This window comes from Homo sapiens, chromosome 14 (genome assembly GCF_000001405.40).
Source record: "Homo sapiens chromosome 14, GRCh38.p14 Primary Assembly".
Taxonomy (NCBI): Eukaryota; Metazoa; Chordata; class Mammalia; order Primates; family Hominidae; genus Homo; species Homo sapiens.
In genome coordinates, this window is record NC_000014.9 from 78076639 (window position 1) to 78102786 (window position 26148).

Consider the following 26148-nt stretch of genomic DNA (forward strand, 5'->3'; position numbering starts at 1 on the left):
CTCCTAAAGTGCTGGGATTATAGGCATGAGCCACTGCACCTGGCCTATGCCTATTTGAGATTAGCAACAGAGACCCTAGTGGGTTCCTGTGAAGCCATGGGAAGTGGCAAAGAGCCCTTGCTCTCAGGCCTTTCCCTTCTGGCCACTGTTGTGGTCCTGCCCGGGGCCCCCTCTCTCCAGGCCTTCCATTCTTCCCCCTCTACTTGGAATATATATGGGGATGAAGAAATCCAACTTGGTGCCACCCACAGGTTTGGGGTGCCCCCAACAGAATTTATTGCCAGCTCCATGGAGCGCCTATGCTGGTTCTTGTTTGGAGATACAGTTATCAAAATATTGTCACACTGAGTAATGATATAGCTCTGCCAACACATTTTAATTCTGGTTAGGCTTTAGCAGTCATTTATCAGCCCAAAAAGGGAAGGGGAATGCTTGGCTAGTCTGCAAGCTCCTCTATAGCACAGTGCCTCCCCTATTCCAGCCTGGGCCACCCCAAGGTGGACAGGTGACAGGTAATTGCTGAGTGAGTAAATGAATGAATGAATGAATGAATTCCCATTTTCCCATGGGGTGAGGGGAAAAGGGGGCTGGGCATGATGGCTCACGCCTATAATCCCGGAACTTTGAAAGGCCGAGGCAGGAAGATCACTTGAAGCCAAAAGTTGGAGACCAGGCTGGGCAACATAGCGAGACTCTGTCTCTACAAAAATGAATTAAAAAATTAGCTGGGCAAGATGGCATGCACCTGTAGTCCCAGCTACTCAGTAGGCTGAGGTGGGAGGACTGTTTGAGCTCAGGAATTTGAGGTTGCAGTGAGCTATGATAGTGCCACTGCACTCCAGCCTGGTTGACAAAGTGAGGCCCTATCTCTAAACAACAACAACAAGAAAATAATAATAATTTCGTTAACCACAGCTAATATTTTTTGTTCACTTATGTATTCTGGACACTGTTTTAAGCCTTTTACGTGTCTGTTGAGGTAGAATAGTTATGTGTCTGTAGAACAGTGACTGTCACGCTAAGTGCTTAGAATATGTCCCTTCTCATTTAAGATTTCATTATTATTAAGATTTCATTTAATTTTCACAGCAGCCCTGGGAGGGAGGCATTATGTCCATTTTGCAGAGAAGAAAACCAAGTCACTGGGAGGTGCAGTAACTTGCCCAGGTAACCTAGCTAGTAAGTGGTGGTCCCAGGACTTCAACCCCCGCTGTCTGGCCCCAGAGTTCATGGTCTTACCCATCAGAAAAAAGCAGCGAGGACGTGGCTGGAGGGGAGACAAGAGAAGTGAGAAAAAGCTGCCAACAGAGTTGAGAAAGGAAGGGTGTATGTGGGGACCAGGCTGAGAAAGGGCAGCACAGGGGGGCCTCTGGGAGAAGAAGGGCAAATGGGAGCCCAGAGTCGGAACTCGGTTCAGGGTACCCACCTCCCCCAGGGCTGTTTCCCTGTGAACATGGTGGAAGATGACAGATTCAGGATTAATGGAAAGGTTTCAGCTCTCTGAGTACCAGGTGGAAGTTTGCCTGAAGCATGGCCAGAGCATGATTGGTAAGCAGGCCCTGACCTCGGCCACCAGCCAGACCCCATTCCTTTCACACTTCTCCACAGAGTCTGGCTGGACCAGAGTCTCTGCTGAGACAGGTTAAAAGGGCTTAAAAACAGGCAAGAAACAAGAGGATGAATCGATTTTTTCTCAGTGAACTTAATGCTCTCTGAAGGAAGTGTGTAGTTATATGAATTTAGGTATGGGGGAGAAACCTAGAGCTGTCTGTTTCTCTGTCCCTCCCACCATTTATTACATGGGGACATTTGCTAATACGTGTCTCCACAGCTCATATTTTTGGATGAATAAGGTGAGTAGGTGCAGGTGAGCATCTGCATGGCCCATAGTGAGCAAAACCTTTGAGATCATTGCACAATCTACAAATATAAAATGGTGGTAGGAGCCATAGTCTCTGTGGTCCCACAGGCCAGGCTTGAGGGCCAGAGCTGCTGGTGGGTCCATTGGAGGTCACATCAAAGCCCAGCCCTCACCTTCAGGGAGGCTGAGCTGGTTTGGTTGTGTTAGGAGATTGGTTGAAGGGAGCTGTGGCCAGGGTCCTCTTGTTGAGCAAGCCAGGTCAAGTAAATCTGAGGAGTTGCTTAAAATGGGATCAGGGTAAGGTAATTCTATGATGACCAAATTTTGACCAAAGAGCTGCAAGAACAAGACTGTTGGGGGCTTCTGGGAAAGATGTTTCCTTCCTAATAAGTGAAAAGCAGGAAAGGAAAATGCCATTTTTGCTACTCTTTTTTTTTTTTTTTTTTTTTTTTGCAGTATGGTTTTGGATACTGTTATGTGATAATGTGATGCTTGGAATATGGCAGCCATGTTGTGACTAAGAGGGGGAGTGTAGTATAGTGAGGATGGCAGAGGATTGATGGAGTTGTGTCCCAAGGACATAGATAAGCTGCTATGCTTACCCTGGGACTGCCCACCTCTACCTTGTGTCCAGTAAGTAATAACTGTCTACAATTTAAGCCACCGTTAGTGATATTTCTATTCCTTGCAGCTGAGGTAATTTTAACTGATGTAAAAGCATAAACTCCTGAGATGTATTCCTGGGTTTTAGGAAGTCCAGACTTTTTGAGCTGGTTCCTAGGACCACTGTGGGTGCTTTAGACCAATGGGTTGGCTTACATCTTTTTGTGTGTGAAGGAAGCAGAGAATAAAAGGGTTCTGGTTAGTGTGGGAACCATATGGTTTTGCTTCAGGTTGTGTATTCCTTGGTGTGTTTTGTTCTCTTTGATTTCCTTGCTTTTCCTTTGGGAAATTCCTTTGAAAATGAAACAAAAACTCACCCTATCAATTTGATCAAGAAATTTTCTGGTCTAATTCCTTGGAAAAGCCACATATGAGGAGCTGAATCCCTAAGACCCATGGTGGGAAGGGAATGGGGGAGAGGACCTCAAAATCAATAACGCTAATTGTGTACCTATAAATGTCCAACATTAAAAAGTTTATTTCTGGACTGTCAGTTTTATTCCATTAATCTATACATTTATTCTTATGCCAGTGCTACATTGTTTTGATTACTGTAGCTTTGATGTAACTTTTGAAATTGGGAAATATAAGTCCTTCAAATTTGTGCTTTTTCCAAGATGGTTTTAGCTATTCTAGATCCCTTGAATTTTCATTTAAATTTTAGAATTAGCTTGTCAATTTCTGCAAAAAAGATGGCTGGGATTTTGATAGAAATTATATTGAATCTGCAGATCAACTTGGAGAGTACTGCCATCTTTTTTTGGTTTTTTGTTTTTTTCTGAGACAGAGACTCACTCTATCTCCCAGGCTGGAGTGCAGTGGCACTATCAAAGCTCACTGTAGCCTCAAATTCTTGGTCTCATGCAATCCTCCTGCCTCAGTGTCCCAAGTGTCTAGGAATACAGGTGCATGCCACCATGCCTGGCTTATTTATTTATTTATTTATTTATTTATTTATTTATTTATTTATGAGATGGAGTCTTACTCTGTTTCCCAGGCTGGAGTGCAGTGGGTGGCGTGATCTCAGCTCACTGCAACCTCCGCCTCCCAGGTTCAAGTGCATCTCCTGCCTCTGCCTCTCCAGTAGCTTGGATTATAGTCATGAGCCACCGAGCCTGGCTAATTTTTTTGTATTTTTAGTAGAGACAGGGTTTCACCATGTTGGCCAGGCTGGCCTCAAACTCCTGGCCTCAAGTGATCCTCCTGTCTCAGCCTTTCAAAGTGCTGGAATTACAGGCATGAGCCACTGTGCCCAGCCGGTATTGCCATCTTGACCACGTTTTAATTCTTCTGATCCATGAACATAGGATGTCTTGCCATTTTTTTTTTTTTTTTTTTTGATTTGGAGTCTCGCTCTGTCACCCAGGCTGGAGTGCAGTGGCGCGATCTCGGCTCACTGCAAGCTCCGCCTCCCGGGTTCATGCCATTCTCCTGCCTCAGCCTCCCGAGTAGCTGGGACTACAGACGCCTGCCACCGTGCCCAGCTAATTTTTTGTATTTTTAGTAGAGACGGGGTTTCACCGTGGTCTCGATCTCCTGACCCCGTGATCCGCCGGCTTCGGTCTCCCAAAGTGCTGGGATTACAGGCGTGAGCCACTGCTCCTGGCCGTCTTTCCATTTTTAAGGTCTACTTTAATTGATATCAACAACATTTGGTAGTTTTCAGACTATAAATTTTACACTTTTTAAAAGGTTTATTTCTAAGTATTTTATTCTTTTTGATGCTATTATAAATGAAATTTAAAAATTTTTATCTTTGTTCATTGCAAGTTTATAAAAACACAATTGATTTTTGTATATTGATCTGGTATCCTGAAATCTTGTTGAATTCATTTATTTCTTCTGGCTAATTCTTAATGGGAAAACTTTTTTCCCCCTTTAATTCCATTTCTTATTTCTAAGTTTTCTGAGCCAACCTTGGCTTTGTAAGTGCTTCCCCCTCCCGCCTGTAAGGTGTGAGCCCCCATTTTTAACACACGTAGGCTGAACATTTCAAAAGCAGATAAATCTGATGAAACTAGATAGTCCTCCATTCTTTATTGGTTTCACTCTTGCACTGAGTCTAAGGTATGGAACAAGATGGGGAATAATTTTAGGTATCAGGGCAAGGCAGGAAAAGGAGATCTATTTATCCTGGGAGTGGGAAGAGAGGGTCTGAGCAGAAAGAAGAGTAAAGGAGAGGGAGCAAGAACAAGGAAATGCCCAGCACTGTGAGGTGAGTTCCCAGAGAACACGTGAGAAGCAAGCAAAAGCTCAAAGAGGTGAGGGAACAGTGAAGAGGGTGCAGTGAGGACAGGATTCAGACAAAGGCACATCAGGGTGTCTTTGAGCCTGTTTGCCTGGGATAGGAGGTGCCAGCAACTCACCTAGGAAGGGCTCTTTAGTTTTGGTGAGGCTGGGTGTAAAGAATATGATTGCCACCAATTTATCAATATCTATATCAATTGTGTGTCTGCTCTGTGTCAGGCACTGTGCTGGTACTTACATTCATGACTCCTTAAAATGACTCTGGATTATAGACCGTGATATATCCATTTTGCTGGCAAGGGAACTGAGTCTTGGAGAAGTTCAGGAACTTTCTCAGTTAGTAAGGGACAAAGGAGCTCAGAGTTGGCTTCTTTGACTTCTAAGTCTGCCTTCTTCCTGCCCTGTCCCAAAGCCTCCTGAGCACTGGGTTGGGGGAGTATGCTCTGTGTGCCTGCTCTTTTCTTCCTTCCTGCAGAGGTTGCCTCCCTAGCCTCCTCTGAACATTTCTTTCTTAAGGTATAGTGTGTGGGTGAGTTGCTTCTAGGTCTGCTCTGTATCACCGTTTTGCAGGGTATTCTGAACTGAGCTTTACCCCGATGGCCAGAGTTTGCTGCCTTATTCAGGCCTTTGCTGAGTCCAGGTGAGCTAGGAATGGGAAATGTGAAACACACACTCCCTTTTGCACTCAGAGTTCTATGACAAGTTGGGAGATGAGCTTTCTTTGTCTTTGGGCAGACTTACCTGGATTTAGTTTTGTAGCTATAGGAGAAGCCCATGGCCATCCCACCAACACTTTGGCTGAGCTACTAACACTTGGCCACCTAGAAAAGCAACTGGGACATAGTTGGATCTCAAAATATTTGTTGAATGTTGAATAAATGGTTTCTAGTCTTTGCCCCAGCACCAGCATTATTGGGGGCTGTATTCAGTTAATGATTTTCACAATGGGAGGCAGTTCTAGTTTAGTTGAGGCAGTGGGACCCCTTGTTATCATAGATACCACGTTCACAAGCTCATCTTTCTGTTAAGTGAGCAAATATTTATTGCTTTCTGAAGAGGTGCCAGGGACAGACCAGCCAACGAATGCTGGTTCTCACGGAATTTAGAATTCAGAGGGGTAAACAGACATAAAATAACTACATGTGGCCAAATCCTGGGCACGGCTGTCTTTTGTTTCCATGTGGCTTTTTATGTGGCTTTTCTCGACAAAACAACACCTATCATTGTGCCAGCTCCTTCCTTCTCCCTCTTGCCTTCCCTAGGCTTTCAGTGTTACATCTCCATCTCCAGCCATCCTTTCCTTCTGCCCCTCACCTCGGCACTGGGTATCAGTTTACCCTTTTCCCTGCAACAGTGGCTTTCCATGTCTGCCTCTCTGAAGAGCTCCAGGCAAACAGCACAGGGCTCTTATTAATCTTGATCTGTAAATCATTCTCCCACCCTCACCTCCACTCATAAATTCTGGTCCTCATGTGGAGCACCTCTTGGTTGAGATGGGTTTTGCAGAGCACTTTCTGCCATCAGAAGGAACATTCCAGAGAGAGAGAGAGAGAGAGAGAGAGAGAGAGAGGGAGAGAGAGAGAGAGAGAGAGAGAGAGAGAGAGAGAGAGAGAGAGAGAGAGAGAGAGAGAGAGAGAGAGAGAGATCCTGTGGGAAAACATCCTCTTAGGCTTAATTCTTCCTGGGTGAATTGCATGTGGCCGAGTTCCACCCCAGGAGTAAAAGCAATTCTTATATTTATTTCCATCCCTGTCTCCTTTGCTGAACATGTCTTTAAGGACATTTACTGGGTCAGATGCAGGGTCAGGGATGGAGATGTATATAGTGAGCAGTCACAGTCCCTGTTCTGCTCTGTAGGAGAGACAGGGTGTACCTATCAAATGTTAGCTAATGAGATATTATGGAATTATAGAATGTCAAAATTAGAAGTTACCTTATCATTTATTCTAATACTTTGCAAACTTCTTTGATCATGACCCACAGTAAGAAATATATCTTATATTATGAACCAGTATGTATGTATTACATTATCCATACATATGTATATACACACAAATATATATGTCTGTCCCTATCATTTATCAGTCATCTATTTATCATATAACTGTATCTTACAAAAGTTTTACATCATTTATCAGTCATCTCTCTATTTATCATATAACTGTATCTTACAAAAGTTTTACAAAGCAAGTGTTTCAAAATAGTAGTTGTGTCTTCTTCCATCTCTTGGTCTTGTGTAATGTAGTACCTCTGGATCAGTGGTGTGCTTGATTCAGCATGGACCAGCTCATGAGAGTCAGTTTCCAAATTTTCAGCAATGTTGGGAGCTGATTATTAAAGTTGTTATTAAAAATTAAATTCTATAACTTACAGATAAATTATGCTAAACACAAGGATAATAAGTACTCAAAACTTATTTCTGAATTACTTGACTACATTTTACTGTTATCTATGCTCTTGAAGTTATTTATGTGTATTGTACCTGCATGGTGGAAATAATATCTGATGTATTACTTTCTATCTTGTCCCAATTCTGTGCTCAGAGAAGTCTCATTGGTAGCTTGAAACTGGTCATGGGGAAAATATTTACATTACAGGGACTGGCAAATGCAATAGGGTTCCAGCCCCTGGAAAGACAGTTGTTAAGCATTTACCAGCATACCATTGCTCTGGAGTCACACTAGTTGGGTTTAGTCTTAGATCTAGCACTTGCTAGCTGTGTGACTTGGGCAAGTTACTAAACATTTTTGGGCCTGTTTCTTTGTACAATGCACATCCTTCTAGGGTTGCTTTGAGGATTAAATGAGTTAATACACAAATGCTTAGAACAGTGCCTGGCAGATGGTACATAGAGAGGTGTTACCTGTCGTCTGGGCTAACTGTTGCTAGGTTATCCCATTCACTCTGGTAGGGTATGGTTTCCTGTTCACTCTCTCCTTACCTTGGCTTCGGACTTGACATATGTGTTCGTCTTCTCTTCCCAGCCAGATCATAGGTTCCCTGAGAGCAAGAGTGATTGGCTTCTTTGTAAACTCTAGGTCTCAGTCTTAAATGAGGCGCAATCTAGATGCTCAATCTCATTGACCAAATTACAAAAAACTTGTCTAATATCCAATGGGAACCCTCAGAACATAAGGACAATACTTACCATTACTATGCATATACTTTCTATTCTATTTCATGTGCTGACCCACAGCTCACTAAATTAATTTTGTGACTCAATATTAAGTCCAAACATTGCAGTTTGGAAATGCAATGTTCTAGCGATCTACCTGGAGCTTGCACTCTCTCCAGTTGTCAAGCACTCCTTGCTTGAATTTCTTTGGTGATGGAGAACGTAGTGTCTACCTAGGAAGCCAGTTCTATCTTTGTGAGCTTTGGCTGTTCATACATTTTTCTTATAATGATACTAACCCTGGTCTTCCACAGATAACTGACTCCTTCCAGGTAAAATCTCTTCCAGTGTTTCAAAACAGCAGTTGCCCTGCCTCTCTGTGGCATCCTTCTTCTCCTGGTGGAGGGCCCTGGGCTTGGATGATTGACTTGAGGAAGAGTAAGTATTTCTGTTCAGGCTGCCCTGAACTGGCTTGCTGGCACAGGCTGCCCAGCAGGTGGTTGGCCTATAAATCACTAGGCCTTACTCTCTCTGCATCTCAGCATCCTGTGTCAGTGATGAAGCATCTGGCCCCTCCCCTTCTCATCCCTCCCCAACTTTGAACAAGTCCTCATGGAACTCATTTAGGCCCTGATTCTTTCTTGCATATAGCAGCTGTGTTATTTGAAGAAGTCAGGAGACTCTCCTGCCTCAAAACAGCTCATCTGGGGACTATATTTTACCATTAGGGATTTAGTCTTTTGGGGGTAAACAGTGCTGTCTCCATGACATCCTAGTTTAAAATGGTGGCACCTGGGGAGAGTGGTGTACTATGAATATGAAGCCTCTAAAATCTTAGTGTGAATGGACTTGTCAGGTGCGTTGCTCCCTACTCTACTGCCATGCTTCTCACAGTGTGCATCAACTCCAAAGAAACACCAGAGGCAGCCCTGTGTTGTGTCGAGTTCTCAAACCTGCCTGCACTTTTGGAATTGCCACGGGAGGACTTCACTTAATTAGAAAAATGTTAATTTGGTAACTATTGACCCCCACCTTCTATTCAAGGTAAATGTCACTCATACAATCTCATATTTAAAAGCATACAAATCTGATATTTAAAAATGTTTATATATATTAAGAAGAACAAAAGGAAATTCCCCCTTGGCCTATTTGCTTCCATCTTGAGAAATCTTTAAAAAGTAGGGATTTCTTGGGTCTCTTCCTAAACCTACAGAAATAGAATCTTCCGAATGCAGACCAAAAATCCTTTAAAAAATCCTCTCCAGGTGATTCTACCTGTGCAGAGAGGCGTGGACACTAATGGAGTCATGGACTGATGTTTCTCAGTGATTTGGTTCATTTCTATACTCCCACAGCTCTCTGCCCAGGGCTTGGTGCATAGCAGGCATATAGTAGGTGCTTAGTAAGCAATGTTTATTTAAACTAAACTGGAAGAGGTTGGGAGCTGGGCAGACCTGGATTCGAGTCTAAGCCTCTGCCACTTACTGTGTACATCAGGCAGGTGACTTCCTCCTTATCTGGGAAATGGAGATGAGAATGTCCACAATAATGGGGTTAAAAGCCAGTAGGAACTTCCTACCCACTTCCAGGCCTCCCCTTCTTTGGGCTTTCAGGGGAGGGAAAGGCAATCAATTCCAGGACAGTAAGTCCCAGGGAGCTCTGTATCAATCACACAGAAGGCAGCTTTAAGCCTCTTTCGAGCACTGTCCTCGCCCTGCTTGCCATGGGTCTGTATCTTGGGACACTACCTTCGGGTTGTGCAGATGAAAAGCTGGCGACATTGGTAGGGCTGGAATCGATCCCTTCTGTGCCTGCTTGTGGCTAGATCGGTCAGATTTCTTGATAGCTGCAGTAGGGGACCAACTGAAGCTAATTTCCAGCTGGACCTGCCCTAGCTCCTGAGGACTATGAGGGAGGTAGCATTGGAAAAAGCGGAGTGACCAGCAGGGAGCTTGCAGAGGAAAAAAGGAGGGTCTTGGGTGGAGGTGGCAGTAGCAGCACAGGGGTGTTATTTCGGGGTAAGGTTGCAAAGGGGTGTGGCCTGCCATTTTGATCTGTAGAGGAGGGAGCTATGACCTTTCCAACAGTCTTACTGTGCTTTGCTGATACTTGCTTCCTCCAATCCTTTTTAACCCTCATTTTAAGAGTCATCAGGTGAGTGTATTTTCATAAACATTTTATTATTAAACAGTGGAACTTCGGAGTGCTTAGGGGGAGGCGCTGCTCAGCATAAGTTCCCACAGGCCCAGCAGGCGTTCGCACTCTGTGGCCTCCTGTTGGAGGAAGGGATTGGGCTTTTCCACTCCTCCTGGGCTAGTCTCACTTCAGGGAACTGGCTTCTGGCTGAGGTCTCTGGTGGGACCCTGGTGCTCCATTCTTGGAATGGTAAGATACAAAAACTCTTGGAGCTCTGCTGCTCTGAATTTGGTTACTTTGGGGCTCAACTGTCTAGATATCAAGGCTCCCTGAGTTTTAGTTTCTTTATCTGTAAAATGAGATAATAATATCTTCTTTACCCTAGCATGGGAATTCAGCAAGAAAACCCAGAGAAAGCCCATAGCATAGTCCCTGGAACATAGTAGTTGCTCAATAAATGGTAGCTATTGTTGCTGGTGGAATTTAAAATTTTTTCTCCTCTATTGTAAGATCCACCTGCTACCCCTGCCCCCCACATTTTAATATATTTGCATCTTGTTATGTCTTAAAGTCAGTATGTGCATTTTAGATGCGGTGGTTCCCTCAAGAGCTGTTATTAAACCAATGGTAACTTTTTTTTTTTTTTTTTTTCTTTTTGAGACAGAGTCGCCAGGCAGGAGTACAGTGGCGCAATCCTGACTCACTGCAACCTCCGCCTCCCGGGTTCAAGTGATTCTCCTGCCTCAGCCTCCTGAGTAGCTGGGACTACAGGTGCCGGCCACCATGCCCAGCTAATTTTTGTATTTTTAGTAGAGACAGGGTTTCACCATGTTGGCCAGGATGATCTTGATCTCTTGACCTCGTGATCCACCCACCTTGGCCTCCCAAAGTCCTGGGATTATAGGTGTAAGCCATCGCGCCTGGCCGATGGTAACTCTTATAACTAAAAGTTTCTCACGTCTGAGAAAATGTAGTATCAGAGTTCTGTTCCTGATCCTTAGCTGGGACTACAGTAATTGCCAGGCTAGCCAATAACCTGCTTTTAAAAAGGGAGATTAACAGGTGTTAAAAATGTATTAGCAACTACTTGCACAAAATTAAGACAATATTGAAGAAAAGGGGAGAGCTTGCAGAAAAGTAGCCAACCGTGCAAAGCGCTTCATAGAAAGGAAAATTATTTTGGAATTTCTTTGATTAGGTACCTCCACAGCCACGTCTCCGGTTCCATCCTGTTCTCCTGCCTGCCTCTTCTATAGGGGAGCCTCTCTCCTCCTTTGGGGTTATCTGCTCTAGGAGCTTTATTACGGTCTACAGGATGAGGATGTCTGCACATTTGTGACTTAGGGTATCTTGAATCTCCCCACACAGATCAGTCTACAAAATGCACTCAGTTAAAAAACCCAACAACCTAGGGCCTAATTTAATGATCTGAAAGACATCAGGAAATAGCAAACTGTGGTGTACTTCTGGCCCCTCTGTTCACATCCCTTCCTTTTTACTGTGTAAAGAATTTGGAGATGTCCTAAGTCTATTTGGTTTTGTGTATGTGTGCTCATGTGCGTGTGCTGTTCAATTAGGGGACCTGATCGATATTACTGAGAAAATCTTTTACTGAAATCATTCCAGAGAATTAACAGCTTGCTGTAGCCAAAGGAAGCTTCCAATGCCATCATGGTGTCTGGGTGCGAGGCTATGAGCAGAGCCCTTCTGGGGTCCTACCTTTTATTCCCATGATCTTATCAGAGTAGCAAGCGGATGGCTGCTTCCACTAGAGTAAGGCAGTGTGGGCTAAGGACAATGCTTTGGTGGATACTGCCACCGTGACTACTCCTCATATCTGTCGAATGCTTACTATGCGGCAGGTACAATGCTAAACATGCCACTTATGTTTCCTAATTTGATTCTCACAACATTCCTGTTAGAGAGATTCTATCATCAATACCATTTTGCAAATAACAAAAGATAATTAGAGACTTGCTTTATAATTCCCAAGTCTACCTGATGCCACACTCCAGAGTTCTCAGTTCTCTGCAAAGGTCACTGCCTTTTGGTGGCCCTGGGGGAGGGTGCTGAGAATAAGGACAGTTGAGCCAGGAGGATTCTCTGGGTCCTGAGCTGTGTCTGCCCATCTCAGTCCTGCTCTGTCCTGTGTAGCCCCTAACTCTAATCTCCCTTCAAAGCTGCGCACTGCACAACTTGAGGGGAACCATTCTCATCCTGGTCTGTAGCAGGAGGTGGCAAACTTGCAGAGGGGCCAGATAACATTGTTGGCTTTGTGGACCATACAGTCCCTGTCACAATGACTCACTTCTGCTGTTGTAGCATGAAAGTAGCATAGACAATTCCTAAATGAGTGGACATGGCTTTGTTCCAATAAAACTTTACTTACAAAAACAGGTGGCAAGCTGGATTTGGCCCATGGTCTGTGGATTGCTGGCCTCTGGTCTGTGTCACTCGAAGGGATGACATTCACAGAGACAACCACTTGGAGGAGTGCAACATGAGCCGCCTGCTTTGTGGTGGCTGAGGAGTATCTCCAAGAGACATAGTGATTAGCTGAGGTGAATGACGCTCCTGTGTGTGTGTGCCCATATGAATGAATCATGCTTTTTATTAAAATTCTCTTAGTTTAATAATCCTTACAACAGAAGCAAACCTTTCAGCATTCGCAGGACAGCTTTGCATGCAGGGAAGGATGATACGACTCAAGGGCTCTTTCCTCCCTGAGTTTCAGTGGCCTTTGGGGGAGGGACCCTCACACATTATGTCCGTGGTCACTGAAATAGTCATTCATGGGAGGTGCTATTTCCCACTTTAAAGATCAGGCCCCAGTGCAGGTAAAGCTCTTTTTCCTTAATCTATTTTGGTGTAGCCAAAAGATGTAGAAATTCAACATATATCAGAGCATTTAGGGGAAACCGAAGAGAAAAATGCATACAGTATAAGACATAAACACATCCAGTTTACCACACGTGGGTTTCTGACCCTACCTCAGCCAGCTTGTCTCCACTGGTCTGAGTCTCTCTTACTCCCAATGCTCTTCTAGTACCTTCTGATGAAGTCCTGCTTCAGGCCCAAGGGTGTTCCCTGTTCCTAGGTAATCAGTGGCACAGGGAGCTTGTCATTGTGAATGACCTACACGGAGGATCTCATTCTCAACATAAAAAGGGAGCCCAGGGCCGTGACATGCGGATTAGCTTTAAATAAATAAGAAAGCATACAAGCAGCACAAGGAAAATAAATTACAGAGAGAAAGGAAAAAGTGAAAGTCGGGTGTCGTCCTCACATCCAGGAACAATCACTGTGCATTCTGACACATCTTTCCCCATGCCTTTTCTGTACCAGGCTCGGGGCTTTTTTGGACAATAATTATAAATCCATACAACAGTAATGACAGTGCAGCAACAGAAGGATCATTTTGACACAGCAGAATAAGCACTGGAAGGTGTTGGTGAGGGGACAGGGAGGGGAGAGAAACTCCAGGGGTGTGCAAGGTTCAGGGCTAGTGGCTGTGGCTTCCGTGGCTTTCTGGTGCCCTGGTCTGGGTGCTCATCCCAGCAGCAATGGTGGGGAGGGTGGTCATGTTCAGCTGTCTCAGGTGTTCTTGCTCTCCCTGGCCTCAGAAGGTGGGTGGCCACTATCCTGCAGATGGAGATGGGGTGGGGGTGGGAGCTGGTGTCTCCTCCTCATTCTCTGCAGCTGCCCATCCACCCTGGTCAATGATGCTTGTCCATCCCCACTGAGATCCAAGTCCAGCCATGTGCAAGGGGAACATCTGCTCCCACAGCTGCAGGGCCCTGCAGTCCTGGAACCAGAGTGACTTCAGAAGCCAAATGCGGGGCCCTTGGTTATGTGTGTGTGTTGGTTAGGGTAGGCGATGCGTTGCAGTGTGGTGCAGAGTGGAAAGCAGGGGTCTGGTGTCATTGGGAGCATTGCTTTTTAACCTTCTGGGCACAGCTGACCCATTGGACATGCGGGCTACTGAGTCTCAGGGCAGGGTCTAAGCAGTGGGAGGTTGGCAGTGACTCCTTAAGCTCAGCAGGCTGTGGGTAGAGAATGGGGCATAGAATGCGCTTATCTCCTGGTTTCCTCACCACTGGGCATCGGCAATGTGAGAGTGGATTTCTCCTGCTACCCTATTATGGAGGGCTTTCTGGACACGGTTCTTCAGAGCCTCAGAGCCCAGATCTTCAGAGCTGACCCTCCTTCCATCCCTTTTATTAGTTCTGCCTCTAGAGCCGCACGGATAGCACACGGGTTGGGAACCTGCTCTCTGGTGTCAGACAGAAGTGGGCTCAAATACAAGCTCCTTTGTGTACTGGCTGTGTGACCTTGAGCAAGAGATGAATCTCTCTGCCCTTGTTTGCTTGCCTGAGAATGGGGATAACAATGCCTGCCTTTGGAGGCATGGGAAGGATTCACTGAGTTAATGAACGTAAATCACCCAGCCCGGGTCTGTAGCTGTCAGCACGTAGGTTGGTTGCTTCCTTTCTCTTGGTTTTGTTCACATCTATGGACTCTGTGACTGAGCTCTTTGCGGGATCCCGAGCATCTACCATTTGGGGCAGAATCAAAGTCAGTGCCATTAAGCTCCCTCTTTGATCTGGCCATCTGGCCATCACCACTGACTGTTCACCCTGGTGACCTATTTCTCAGACCTTACCAATATGAGAGTGTGAATCAGTCACACGGACAACAGTGACCTGTTTCCCTGGCTTCGGACTTTACCTACTTACCTGGAACCTCACCCCTGCAAAGTTCTTTCATCCCTGAGCTTGCTGGAAGTGCCTGGTGGCAGGGGGTCTTGCGTGATCACATCTGAGCTGCTCAGCAGCCCATCACACTGTGTTCCCCAGAGCCTGCCGGCCCCTTCTCTCACCAAGCTTCCAGCTATTTCTTAGCAGACACCACCACCCTTCCCATCGTCTCTCACCAGGCCTGTCCATCCTGTCTCTGAAGGCTTTGTGCTACCAAGGTTACCCTCTGTGTCTGTGGTGAAGCGTGGATTGCTGGGGGTGAGGGTGAGGGCAGATAAGTCCTTTTAGTGTATTTTCATGGTCACAGTCTGCAGGGAAGTGGTGTCCTCACACAGCTCTGCATCTGCCTTGCCCGCATAGATTTTCCCTTGAGGTCTGTCTTTTCACTTTTTATGTACAGCATCCCCCTATCCTCCAGACTTCTGACCTGGTTTCCCTGAGGAGTGGCCGGGAATAGGTCTGAGAGCCTGACTAGATTCATCCCTGGGGTCTGGCCCTGGGCTTCCTCGGATTGCAAGATCCCCAGGAAGATCATCAGACTTCCCAGAGAGGTTCTGGCAGGCCTGCCCCATCGGGACCCCCTCCAAGACCACATGCCCAGGCTCAGGCAGGAAGGCCTGTTCATGCAATCATTCGCTATTGGCTTGGAGATCATCGTGGGTCATCTGGCCCCCTCTTTTCCAAATAAATAACCCTGTTTTCTCTAACCATCCACTTCCTAGCTGCTTATGTGCTTTGTAATGCTCTTCGGATCCTTTCAAATCCTGCTTGTTTTGGTGTGGGGCCAGCTGTGGCCCCAGGGTCATAGTCTGAGCAATGCCGATGGAACAGGGTTTTGCAGCATTCCCTACACACCACCGTTTTTGTATTAGGCGATCCTCAAGGGGAATGTGCCCTGCTCAGAGGGCTTCTCTGGAATCACAGGGTGTGCCTGCCGGTCAGTGGAGCTCTAGACTCCCTCCTGCTCCCAGCCCTGATGGCTCTCCATCCAGCCTGCCAGTTTGACTTCAGGCTTGCCCCAGAGATCCACCCTCATCTCTCTGAAGGCCAGTGGTCTGGGGACCACCTCACCAGGGCCACCTTGGGGGCTCTTGTTAAGACGCAAAGTCCCAAGCCCTCCCTAGGCCTACCCCCATCTTGCCCATTGAGTGTGTTAGGGGTAGTGGCTTGTGGAAGAGCTTATAAACTAGCTCTTCAGGGGCTGGAAGGAACAGTTATCCTTGAGGAAAAATAAACTACTGGCCATAGTAAACAAAAAGAAAGTTGCAAAATCAAAATTAATAAATGTTTAATTAAATGTCTAGGAAATATAACTATGTCAACTCATCAACCACAAGTCAACTCACTCTCACATAGTTACATATCATTTATATTTAATGTGGGATGCAGATGGCTTTTCATATGTTTGTTATGATGTGGGGTGGTGTTCCCCACAGCAAGAGTACTGGGGCTTCCTGAAGTCCTAAGATAGCTCTGTCCAGACCTTCCCAGCCAGGCTCTGGGGGTGAGGCTGGGAGTCTGCGTTTGTGTCAGGTTTCTGGGGTGATTGGCCATTGTCCCTGGAGTCTGGTCTTCTAAGATTCCTGAGTTTGCTGTAATGTTGATTGGGAGGCTGGTTACTGGAGGACAAGAGCTATACACTCTAGGGTACCAATTCCCAAACCTAGCTGATCACAAGAACCGCCAAGGAACTTAAACATGAAAATACAGATGCCTGGGCCCTATTCCATTACCCCAAGCCTATTAAATAATTTCATCTGGCCAGGTAAGGTGGCTCATGCCTGTAATCCCAGCACTTTGGGAGGCCGAGGCGGGCGGATCACTTGAGGTCAGGAGTTCGAGACCAGCCTGGCCAACCTGGTGAAATCCCATCTCTACTAAAAATACAAAATTTAGTTGGGCGTGGTGGTGGGCACCTGTAATCCCAGCTACTCGGGAGGCTGAGACAGGAGAATCACTTGAACCCGGTAGGCAGAGGTTGCAGTGAGCCAAGATAGTGCCATTGTACTCCAGCCTGGGTGACAAGAGTGAAACTCCATCTCAAAATAAATAAATAAATAATAAATAAAAAAAGAAAAAAAATAACAGGGCTTGGGAATCTTTATTTTAATAACAATCTCTATGGGATTCCAACAATTAGCCAGACTTGGAAACCATTGGAATTAAGGAAAGAGCAGCAGACCAGAGCATCTCAAAGTTCTGTGCCTAGAGATCACCTGGGCATCTTGTTAAACTTTGAATTTTGGCTCAGCTGGTCTGGGTGGAGCCCCAGATTCTTCATTTGTAAGAAGCTTCCGGTAATGTGGACACTCCCTGTCCACAAACCAGGCTTTGAGCCTCAAGGACCCAGATCCTGGGCTGGAATTCTGCTTTAGCTACTTACCAGATAGGCAGGCTCCGGAAATTTTAATAATAGCTGAAGGCCTTGGAAAAGAGATACTAATCAGTTTTCCCTGAAGGGTCTGGATTTATAATACAGGGCCAAGGGGCAGGTGAGGTTTGGTTGGCTCTATTCCCTGTACTTGGCTCAATAACAGAGTGGTCTGTGGATTCAACAGAGATGGAAAGGCTCAGTTTTCACGAGAGAAAAGACCTTGGGGGTAGAAAACATTTCACTCTGCTACTAGGATCTGGAAACCCCAGAATTGGCATATCATATTAAATAATTTTGTTCAGAGAGACCTCCCCAAGGCCAAAGCTGCTTTATGTATTTCTTGAATTTCCCAGATTACAGCCAGGGACTAGTTTATTCACCCAGAAGAATCTGATTTGTGGCTAATTTTTTCCCTTGGCTTTGTATTTCCCAGAGATACCCTTATGAAGTGATTAGATATTGTTCTTCTGAGACTGACTTTCTTGGAAATTCTTTAAGGTCCCTAGTATCCTTTTTTTTTTTTTTTTTTTCCCCCTGTAGACAGAGTCTTGTTCTGTCACCCAGGCAGGAGTGCAGTGATGTGATCATGGCTCCTCACTACAGCCTTGAACTCCTGGGCTCAAGTGATCCTCCCATCCCAGCCTTCAGAGTAGCCAGGGCCACAGGCATGTGCCACCAGGCCTAGCTAATTTTTGTATTTTTTGTAGAGATGGGGGTCTCACTATGTTGTCCAGGCTGGTCTTGAACTCCTTGCCTCAAACTATCTTCCCACCTTGGCTTCCCAAAGTGCTGAGATTATAGGTGTGAGCCACCACTTACCACTTTAATACATTTCTTTACTTCTTAAATCAGAGTGGGATTGTGTTGTTTGTGGTTAAAAACCGTAACTGATACGTGGGTGGAGAGAAGCAGGGATAGAAACCACTGAAAATTTTAGAAATTGCTGTTCCGCCTTACCCTGTATGCTGAGCCAGGTAGCTAGGAATTTCAAATACCCCTATAATTTATTCTTTAAATTGTGTTTGTTAGCAATTTGACTGAAAGCTTCTTGAAGGTGGGATTGGTTCATCATTCATATCTTCATTCATTTATTCAGCCAGCCAATAAATATTTATCAAATGTCAACTATATGCCAGGTAAAAACTATTTTAACCTGGTGTTCTGTCTGGAAGAACCTGTGAATGGAGTTGCCACAAAAGTAGTATTCCTGCAAGGGGCTGCCCCAAAGTGTCCTGAGATGGGGCTGGTTGGGAGTTCAAAAACAGAAGCACTAAACACTGGGGTGATCAGTCCAAAGCATTTGTTAGAGGAACTTAGTGCTTCTAAGTTAGCGCTTGCAGTAGTCCTCACAACAGGCATCAAGAGAAAGGGATGGTCTACCTAGGTATGTCTGTAGCCAGGGGGTTAGGCATGGTGTTTATCTGTGGGTTTCAGGATTTTGGCCCAGGGCCAGGGCTAGTTTATTCAGTGTTTTGGGCAGCAACCTAAACAGCTCTCTCAGTGTCTGGGAATATTAAAGGTCCTGGCTGGGCTTGAAGCCTGCATGGGGAAACATGCAGCTGACCAGCTAACACAGAGGTCATGGCAGTCTGTATTAGAGAAAAACATGGGGAAACTGGAGGACCCTATACCTGAGTTTCCCAAAAAGCAGAACCTGAGACAAATGACTTATTGGGGAGTGATCCCACGGGGCAGGGATGAGGGGCAAGAAGAACAAATCAAGGGGGAAGGGGGAACTAAAACAAAGATGAACTATTGTGTTGGCCACAGCTGTGGGTGACTGGGTGATGGATCCCTAGGGAGATCTGAGGCACCATATGAAACATGTTCCTGGACCACCTGTCCCGGGTGGGTGAGGAAGAAGAATCCATCTACTCACTTCTATCCATCATCTGTATTAGCTTCCTAAGGCTGCCATAACAAATTACTGTAAACTGGGTGACTTAAAACAACAGACATTTATTCTCTCATAGTTCTGAAGGCCAGAAGTCTGAGACTGAGCTGTCGGTAGGGCCATGTCCCCTCTGCAGGCTCTAGGGGAGGATCCTTTCTTGTCTCTTCCTAGCTCCTATTGGCTGCTTGCAACCCTCGGCATTTATTGGCTCATAGTTGCATTACTGTAATTTCTGCCTCTGTCTTCACTTGGCCATCTTTCCTTTGTGTCTGTGTGTCTGTAAATCCCTCTCCTAAAAGGACAGTAGTCATTGGACTTAAGAATTATCCTAATCAAGTATAGCCTTATCCTAACTTGACTACATATGTAAAGATCTTGTTTCCAAGTAAGGTCACATTCACAAACACAGGGGTTAGCATGTCAGCATATCTTTTTGAGGGATGCAGTTCAACCACAACACAGTTATTAAAGGTTTTCCCTACCATGCTAACTCCACCATAGTTTCAGGTTGCAGAGAGACACTGTATTAGTTCATTTTTACACTGCTGATAAAGACATACCTGAGACTGGGTAATTTTTAAAGAAAAGAAGTTTAGTGGACTCACGGTTCCATGTGGCTGGGAAGGCCTCGTAATCATGGCAGAAGGCGAAAGTCACATCTTACATGGTGGCAAACAAAAAAGAATGAGACCCAGATGAAAGGGGAAACTGCTTATCAAACCTTCAGACCTCATGAGACTTATTCACTACCACGAGAACAGTATGGGGGAAACTGCCCCCCATGGTTCAATTAACTCCTACTGGGTCCCTCCCACAACACATGGGAATTATGGGAGCTACAATTCAAGATGAGATTTGGGTAGGGACGAACCCAAACCATATCATTCCACCTGTGGCCCCTCCCAAATCTCATGTCCTCACATTTTAAAACCAATCATGCCTTCCCAATAGTTCCCCAAAGTCTTAACTCATTTCAGCATTAACTCAAAAGTCCACAGTCCAAAGTCTCATCTGAGACAAGGCAAGTCCCTTCTGCCTATGAGCCTGTAAAAACAAAAGCAAGTTAGTTACTTTCTAGACACAATGCGGATACAGGCATTGAGTAAACAACAGCCATTCCAAACGGGAGAAATTGGCCAAAATGAAGGGGCTACAGGCCCCATGCGAGTCTGAAATCCAGTGGGGCAGTCAAATCTTAAAGCTCCCAAATTATCTCTGTTGACTCCATGTCTCACATCCAGGTCATGCTGATGCAAGAGGTGGGTTCCCATGGTCTTGGGCAGCTCCACCTCTGTGGTTTTGCGGGGTACAGCCTCCCTCCTGGCTGCTTTCATGGGCTGGCGGTGAATGTCGGCAGCTTTTTTAGGTGCACAGTGCAAGCTGTTGGTGGATTTACCATTCTGAGGTGTGGAGGATTGTGGCCCTCTCCTCACAGCTTCACTAGGCAGTGCCCCAGTAGGGAGTCTGTGTGGGGGCTCCCACCCCACATTTCCCTTCCACACTGCCTTAGCAGAGGTTCTTCATGAGGGCTCCATCCCTGAAGCACACCTCTGCATTTCCATACATCCTCTGAAATCTAGGTGGAAGTTCCCAAACCTCAATTCTTGACTTTTGTACCCAGAGGCTCAACACCAAGTGGAAACTGCCAAAATTTGGGGCTTGCACCCTCTGAAGCCACAGCCTGAGCTATACCTTGGCCCCTTGTAGCCATGGCTGGAGCGGCTGGGATGAAGGACACCAGCTCCCTAGGCTACACAGCAGGAGGGCTCTGGACCCATTTTTTCCTACTAAGCCTCTGGGCTTTTGATGGGAGGGGCTTCTGTGAAGGTCTCTGACATGCCCTGGAGACATTTTCCCCATTGTCTTGGTGATTAACATTGGGCTCCTTGTTAGTTATGCAAATTTCTGCAGCTGGCTTAAATTTCTCCCCAGAAAATGGGTTTTTAGTTTTTATTGCATCATCAGGCTTCTAATTTTCCAAACTTTAATGCTCTGGTTCCTCTTGAATGCTTTGCTGCTTAGAAATTTCTTCTGTCAGATCCCCCAAATCATCTCTCTCAAGTTCAAAGTTCCACAGATCTGTAGGGCAGGGGCAAAATGCCACCAGTCTCTTTACTAAAACACAGCAAGAGTCACCTTTGCTCCAGTTCCCAAAAGTTCCTCATCTCCATCTGAGGCCACCTCAGCCTGGACTTCTTTGTCCATATCACTATCAGCATTTTGGTCAAAGCCATTCAACAAGTCTCTAGGGAGTTCCAAACTTTCCCACATCTTCATGTCTTTTTCTGAGCCCTCCAAACTGTTCCAACCTCTGCCTGTTACCCAGTTCCAAAGTCGCTTCCACATTTTTGGGTACTTTACAGCAGCACCCCAGCCTACTGGTACCGTAGACTGTAATTTACTGTAACAGCCCATTTTCATGATGCTGATAAAGACATATCCAATACCGGGTTATTTATTAAAAAAAAAAAAAAGAGATTTAATGGACTCACAGTTCCATGTGGCTGGGAAGGCCTCACAATTATGGCAGATGGTGAAAGGCAAATATTACATGGTGGCAGACAAAAGAGAAGGAGAGCCAAGTGAAAGGGGAAACCCCTTATCAAACCGTTAGATCTCATGAGACTTATTCACTACCACACTACCATGAGAACAGTATGGAGGAACCGCCCCCATGATTCAATTATCTCCTACCAGGTCTCTGCCACAACACATGGGAATTATGGGAGCTACAGTTCAAGATGAGATTTGGGTGGGGACACAGCCAAACCATATTGGACACTGACATCAAGACCAGAGGCTTCCTGCTTGGCATGAACACACAAGCGTTGTGGTGGGAGGTGAGAAGTCCTAGACGTGAACCTAAGGTGGCCAGGCTGTCAGTTGCACCTGCGTGAACCTGTCAGCAGGCACACTGAATTGCTTGCTGCAGCAGTGGCTGGAATGAGGTGAGGCCAGAAGGATCTGAAGTGGTGCATAGGAGGTGTCCAATAGGAAAACTGGCAATGATCATGATAGCAGCTGACAATGAGTCCTTCCTGTGTGCCAGGCCCTGTGCATTAGAGGAATTTTCTTATTTAATTTTCACAACAACCCCATGAAGCAGGTCCTATTATCTCCATCATACTGATGAATAATCTGCCATTCAAGAGATACAGCTTGCTTGGGATCAACCCCTCTTACCCTAGAATGTAAGCTCCAGAAGGCCAGAGACTTTGCTCCCTGCCTCAGCACCAAGAACAGTTCTGGTATACAGTCAGTACTCCATAAATGTGTGCTTACTGTTTAAATGCTGGATCTGGGATTTGAATCCAGATTATCCAATGCCAAAGCCTATGCATTTAGCCTAACTAAGGAACTGGTGATGATAAGAACACAGAGAGATGCTCTCCCTTTCATGAGCCATAATCCCATTTGGAAGACAGACCTAAATAGGTAATTATAAGTATTCAGTCCTGTGTCCATCCTAGCCTGGTGGCAAGCATGCAGTAAGTGCTGCATATACATTTGGTGGGCTGGTGCTGGGCTTGCACACCACAGAATTTGTACTTTCTGCCCAGTATAGCCCATCCTCAGCAATTACACTTTGGTCTCTTCTGTGAAGTCCAGATTTTGCCTGCCAGATGCATTTCATGACTCTAATAAACATTCACACCTACTCGGAGCGTTTAGTCAGAAAAAATGGAGCCTAAGAGCTCCATGAAGCAATGTGCTTCCCCTTCTGCAAGCTGAGGGAGCATTAACCGAAACACATGCTCTATGGAAACTGGCTGCATCATTATTGGAACTGCTGCACCCTCACTCTAACCAATCTATTTTTATTTGAAGCGCTTACATTGTATGAAACTGAGCATAGTAACTACAGTCAGTGGAGATGTATTTGTTTTTATTTAAACTCATATAAATGTGGTAATGCCAATAAAGGTTTTTTTCTCCTCTGGAAAGTAAGACATATATGGAGGAGATGGAAATTTACACATCCATCAAACCAAGAGGGCCCATTTTCTCTGAAACAATTTTTTGGGTTGCCAGTGATTTATGGTGGCAAACCGAAGACTGAGTTGGGGAAGTAGGGAGGAGGAGAGAAAGAAAATGCATCCATGTGGTTCATTTATCTCACTTCCTTTAAAGAACAGAGGAGTTAAGAGTAGAGAGAGGGGACAGAACTGGGGAGTCTAAGCAAGAGTTGGATTTGAAGACTAAGAGGGCAGCTGGATCCTTATGATTCTCATTTGCTGTCCAAATGTGCTTTGGAAGCTAGGCAATCGGGTGCAGTGTTGGGGAAATCCCTGGCATCATGAGATCTGGATTTGCTTCTATCTAGCCATGTCACCGTGACCAGGTCTTGGGCTTCCTCATCCCTAACCAGAACACCAGTATTGGCTTTGCTTGCTGGTTAAGATCATGGCTTCTCTAGGGCCAGACTGTGGATTGAAATCCTCACTCTGCCATTTACAACTGTGTGACTTTGGGCAAGTGACTTTACCTTCCTTGGCTTTGATTTTCTTGATCTGGGAGGAGATGCTAATGGTGCCTCAATTACAGCCTTGTTTTGAGGTTTAAAGAAGTAATGCATATTAAGGACTTAGAACAGGACCTGGCATGTCTTAAGTACTCAATTAATTTTTCTCGTCAGGAGAGCTAGAAAGGAAGTAAAAAAATTAATTGTGAAAATTGTATCCTGACAACAGTAACAAAAAGAAGTATTTAGTCCAGGGCCTTTCATCTTGCAGAGGAGGAAACAGACCCAGAGAGGTCTTGAATGTGTTTTCTATTTCTTCTGTAACAAGTCACTGCAACACACATGGCTTTAAACAACACACATTTATTATTTTACAGGTCTGGGAGTCAGAGGTCTGAAATGATTCTTTTTTTAAATTTTAATTTTTAAAAAAACACTTTACTTACTATTACCAGTTTATCATAAAGGATACAAGTCAGGAACAGCCAAATGGAAGAGATGCAGAGGACAAAGCATGAGGGAAGGGGCACAGCACTTCCACGCCCTCTCCAGGAGTGCCACCCTCCCAGCACCTCCCTGTGTTCACCACTTGGTAAGCGCTTGGAACTGTGTTCTATGGGGTTTTGATGGAGGTTCTATTATGTAGGCATAATTGATTAAGTCAGTGGTCATTGGTGATTAGCTCTATCCCCAGCCTCTCTCTCCTTTCCAGTGATCTAGGGGTGGGGCTGAAGGTCTTAACCCTCCAATCACATTGTTAGTTCCTCTGGCAACGGCCCCCATCCTCCGAGTCACCTTGAAATGAGTCTTAATGGAGCCAAAGTCAAGGTGCTGGTAGGGTTGGTTCCTTCTGGGGGTTCCTAGGGAGTCTTGGTTCCTTGGCCTGTCCAGCTTCTAGAGGTTGTTCATATTCCGTGGCTTGTGGCTGTACCACTCCCCTGTCTGCTGCTGTTGTCGAACTGCCTTCTTCTCTCTCTGATTTCTGCTTCCCACTTATAAGGACTCTTGTGATTATATCAGGCCCACCTAGATAATCCAGGAAAATCTTCCCTCTCAGGATCCTTAGCTTCTTCACATCTGCATATAAGGTACATAGTCATAGGTTCTTGGGATTAGGCTATGAACTTGTTTGGGGGTGGGTCAGTGTTTTAATCTTCTGCAAGTCCTAAGGTCAATGGCTGGTTAGTAGCATGGAATGACTTTCAGCAGGAGATTACTGGACTTAAATGCTCTTTTCATGTCCTGGTGCTGCCTTGGCTCTTGAGATGACCAGGTGTCCGGCCTGGAAGCATCTGGCCAGGACGAGGAGGTATCCTGGAATGTCTGAGGCCTCTTATCTCAGAGCAGTGGCTCCTACATCAGGTTACCACCCTCCCAGTCAGGAATTCCTAGCTGCCAATGCCTCTCCACTTACTGAAGCTGCAGTTTGCAGCTTCTTGAGGGTATGCAGTCTAAGTGGCCTGCTAGCTAGGGCCTCAGTGGCATGGGGTGGGCAGGCTGGATCCAAAGCCTGGCTGGTGTGGAGCTGGGAATCTGCTATGATACACTGATGGCGTGGAGGGTGAGTGGTAGGAAGGAAGAGCTCACTCAGCCTGGGTCTGCTGGGTCAAATGGTGTGGATGGATGGAGGGTGAACGGGGACACAGGGGGGGCTTGGGAGGGTAATAGAGATGAGTGCTTTAGAGCAGTGTTTTCCAAACCTTAGCAGTGGAGGCTTTTTTATTTTTAATTTTTTAAAAGCATACCCATTAGGATGGCCATTATAAAAAAATCTTAGAAAATAACAAGTGCTGGGGAGGATGTGGAGAAATTGAACCCTGTGCATGGTTGGTGGGAGTGTAAAATGGTGCAGCTGCTATAGAAAGTATGGAGGTTCCTCAAAAAAATTAAAAATAGTATTACCATATGATCCAGCAGTCCCATTTCTGGATATATACACAAAGGAATTGAAAGCAGTGACATGAACAGATATTTGGACACCCATGTCCATCACAGCATTTTTTTTTTAAGACAGAGTCTCACTCTGGCACCCATGCTAAAGTAAAGTGGCATGATCATAGCTCACTATAACCTTGAACTCCTGGGCTCAAGCAATTATCTCATCTCAGGACCCCCCTCCAAATAGCTGGGACTATATAGGCACATGGCTACCATACCTGGCTACTTTTTTTGTATTTTTTGTAGAGATGGGGTTTCACCATGTTATCTGGGCTGGTTTGAACTCCTAAACTCAAGTGATCTGCCTGCCTCAGCCTCCCAAAGTGCTATGATTACAGGCATGAGCCACCCTGCTTGGCCAGCACTTTTTACAATAGCCAAAATGTGGAAGCAACCCAACGAAGCAACGACTGGTGAATGGATAAGCAAAATGGATAAACAAAACACACACACACACACACACACACACACAAAATCACACAATGGAATATGATTTAGCCTTAAAAAGGAAGGAAATTCTGACACATGCTACAATATGAATGAACCATGATGACATTATGCTAAGTGAAATAAGCCAGTCACAAAAAGACATACTGTACAATTCTGCTTAGAGTAGTCAAATTCCTAGAGACAGAAAGAATGGTGATTTCCAGGAGCTAGGGGGAACAGGGAATGGGGAGTTATTGTTTAATGGGTACAGA

The 26148-nt window shown here is 45.5% G+C and overlaps 2 annotated features.

The window, feature by feature from the left end:
* Window positions 13894-14393: an enhancer, noted in NCBI's record as "H3K27ac hESC enhancer chr14:78556875-78557374 (GRCh37/hg19 assembly coordinates)". NCBI's record gives its function as "activates a minimal SCP1, AML or CMV promoter by ChIP-STARR-seq in primed H9 embryonic stem cells {active_cell/tissue: H9 hESC(primed)}" and the evidence as "EXISTENCE:reporter gene assay evidence [ECO:0000049][PMID:30033119]".
* Window positions 20418-20918: an enhancer, noted in NCBI's record as "H3K27ac hESC enhancer chr14:78563399-78563899 (GRCh37/hg19 assembly coordinates)". NCBI's record gives its function as "activates a minimal SCP1, AML or CMV promoter by ChIP-STARR-seq in naive H9 embryonic stem cells {active_cell/tissue: H9 hESC(naive)}" and the evidence as "EXISTENCE:reporter gene assay evidence [ECO:0000049][PMID:30033119]".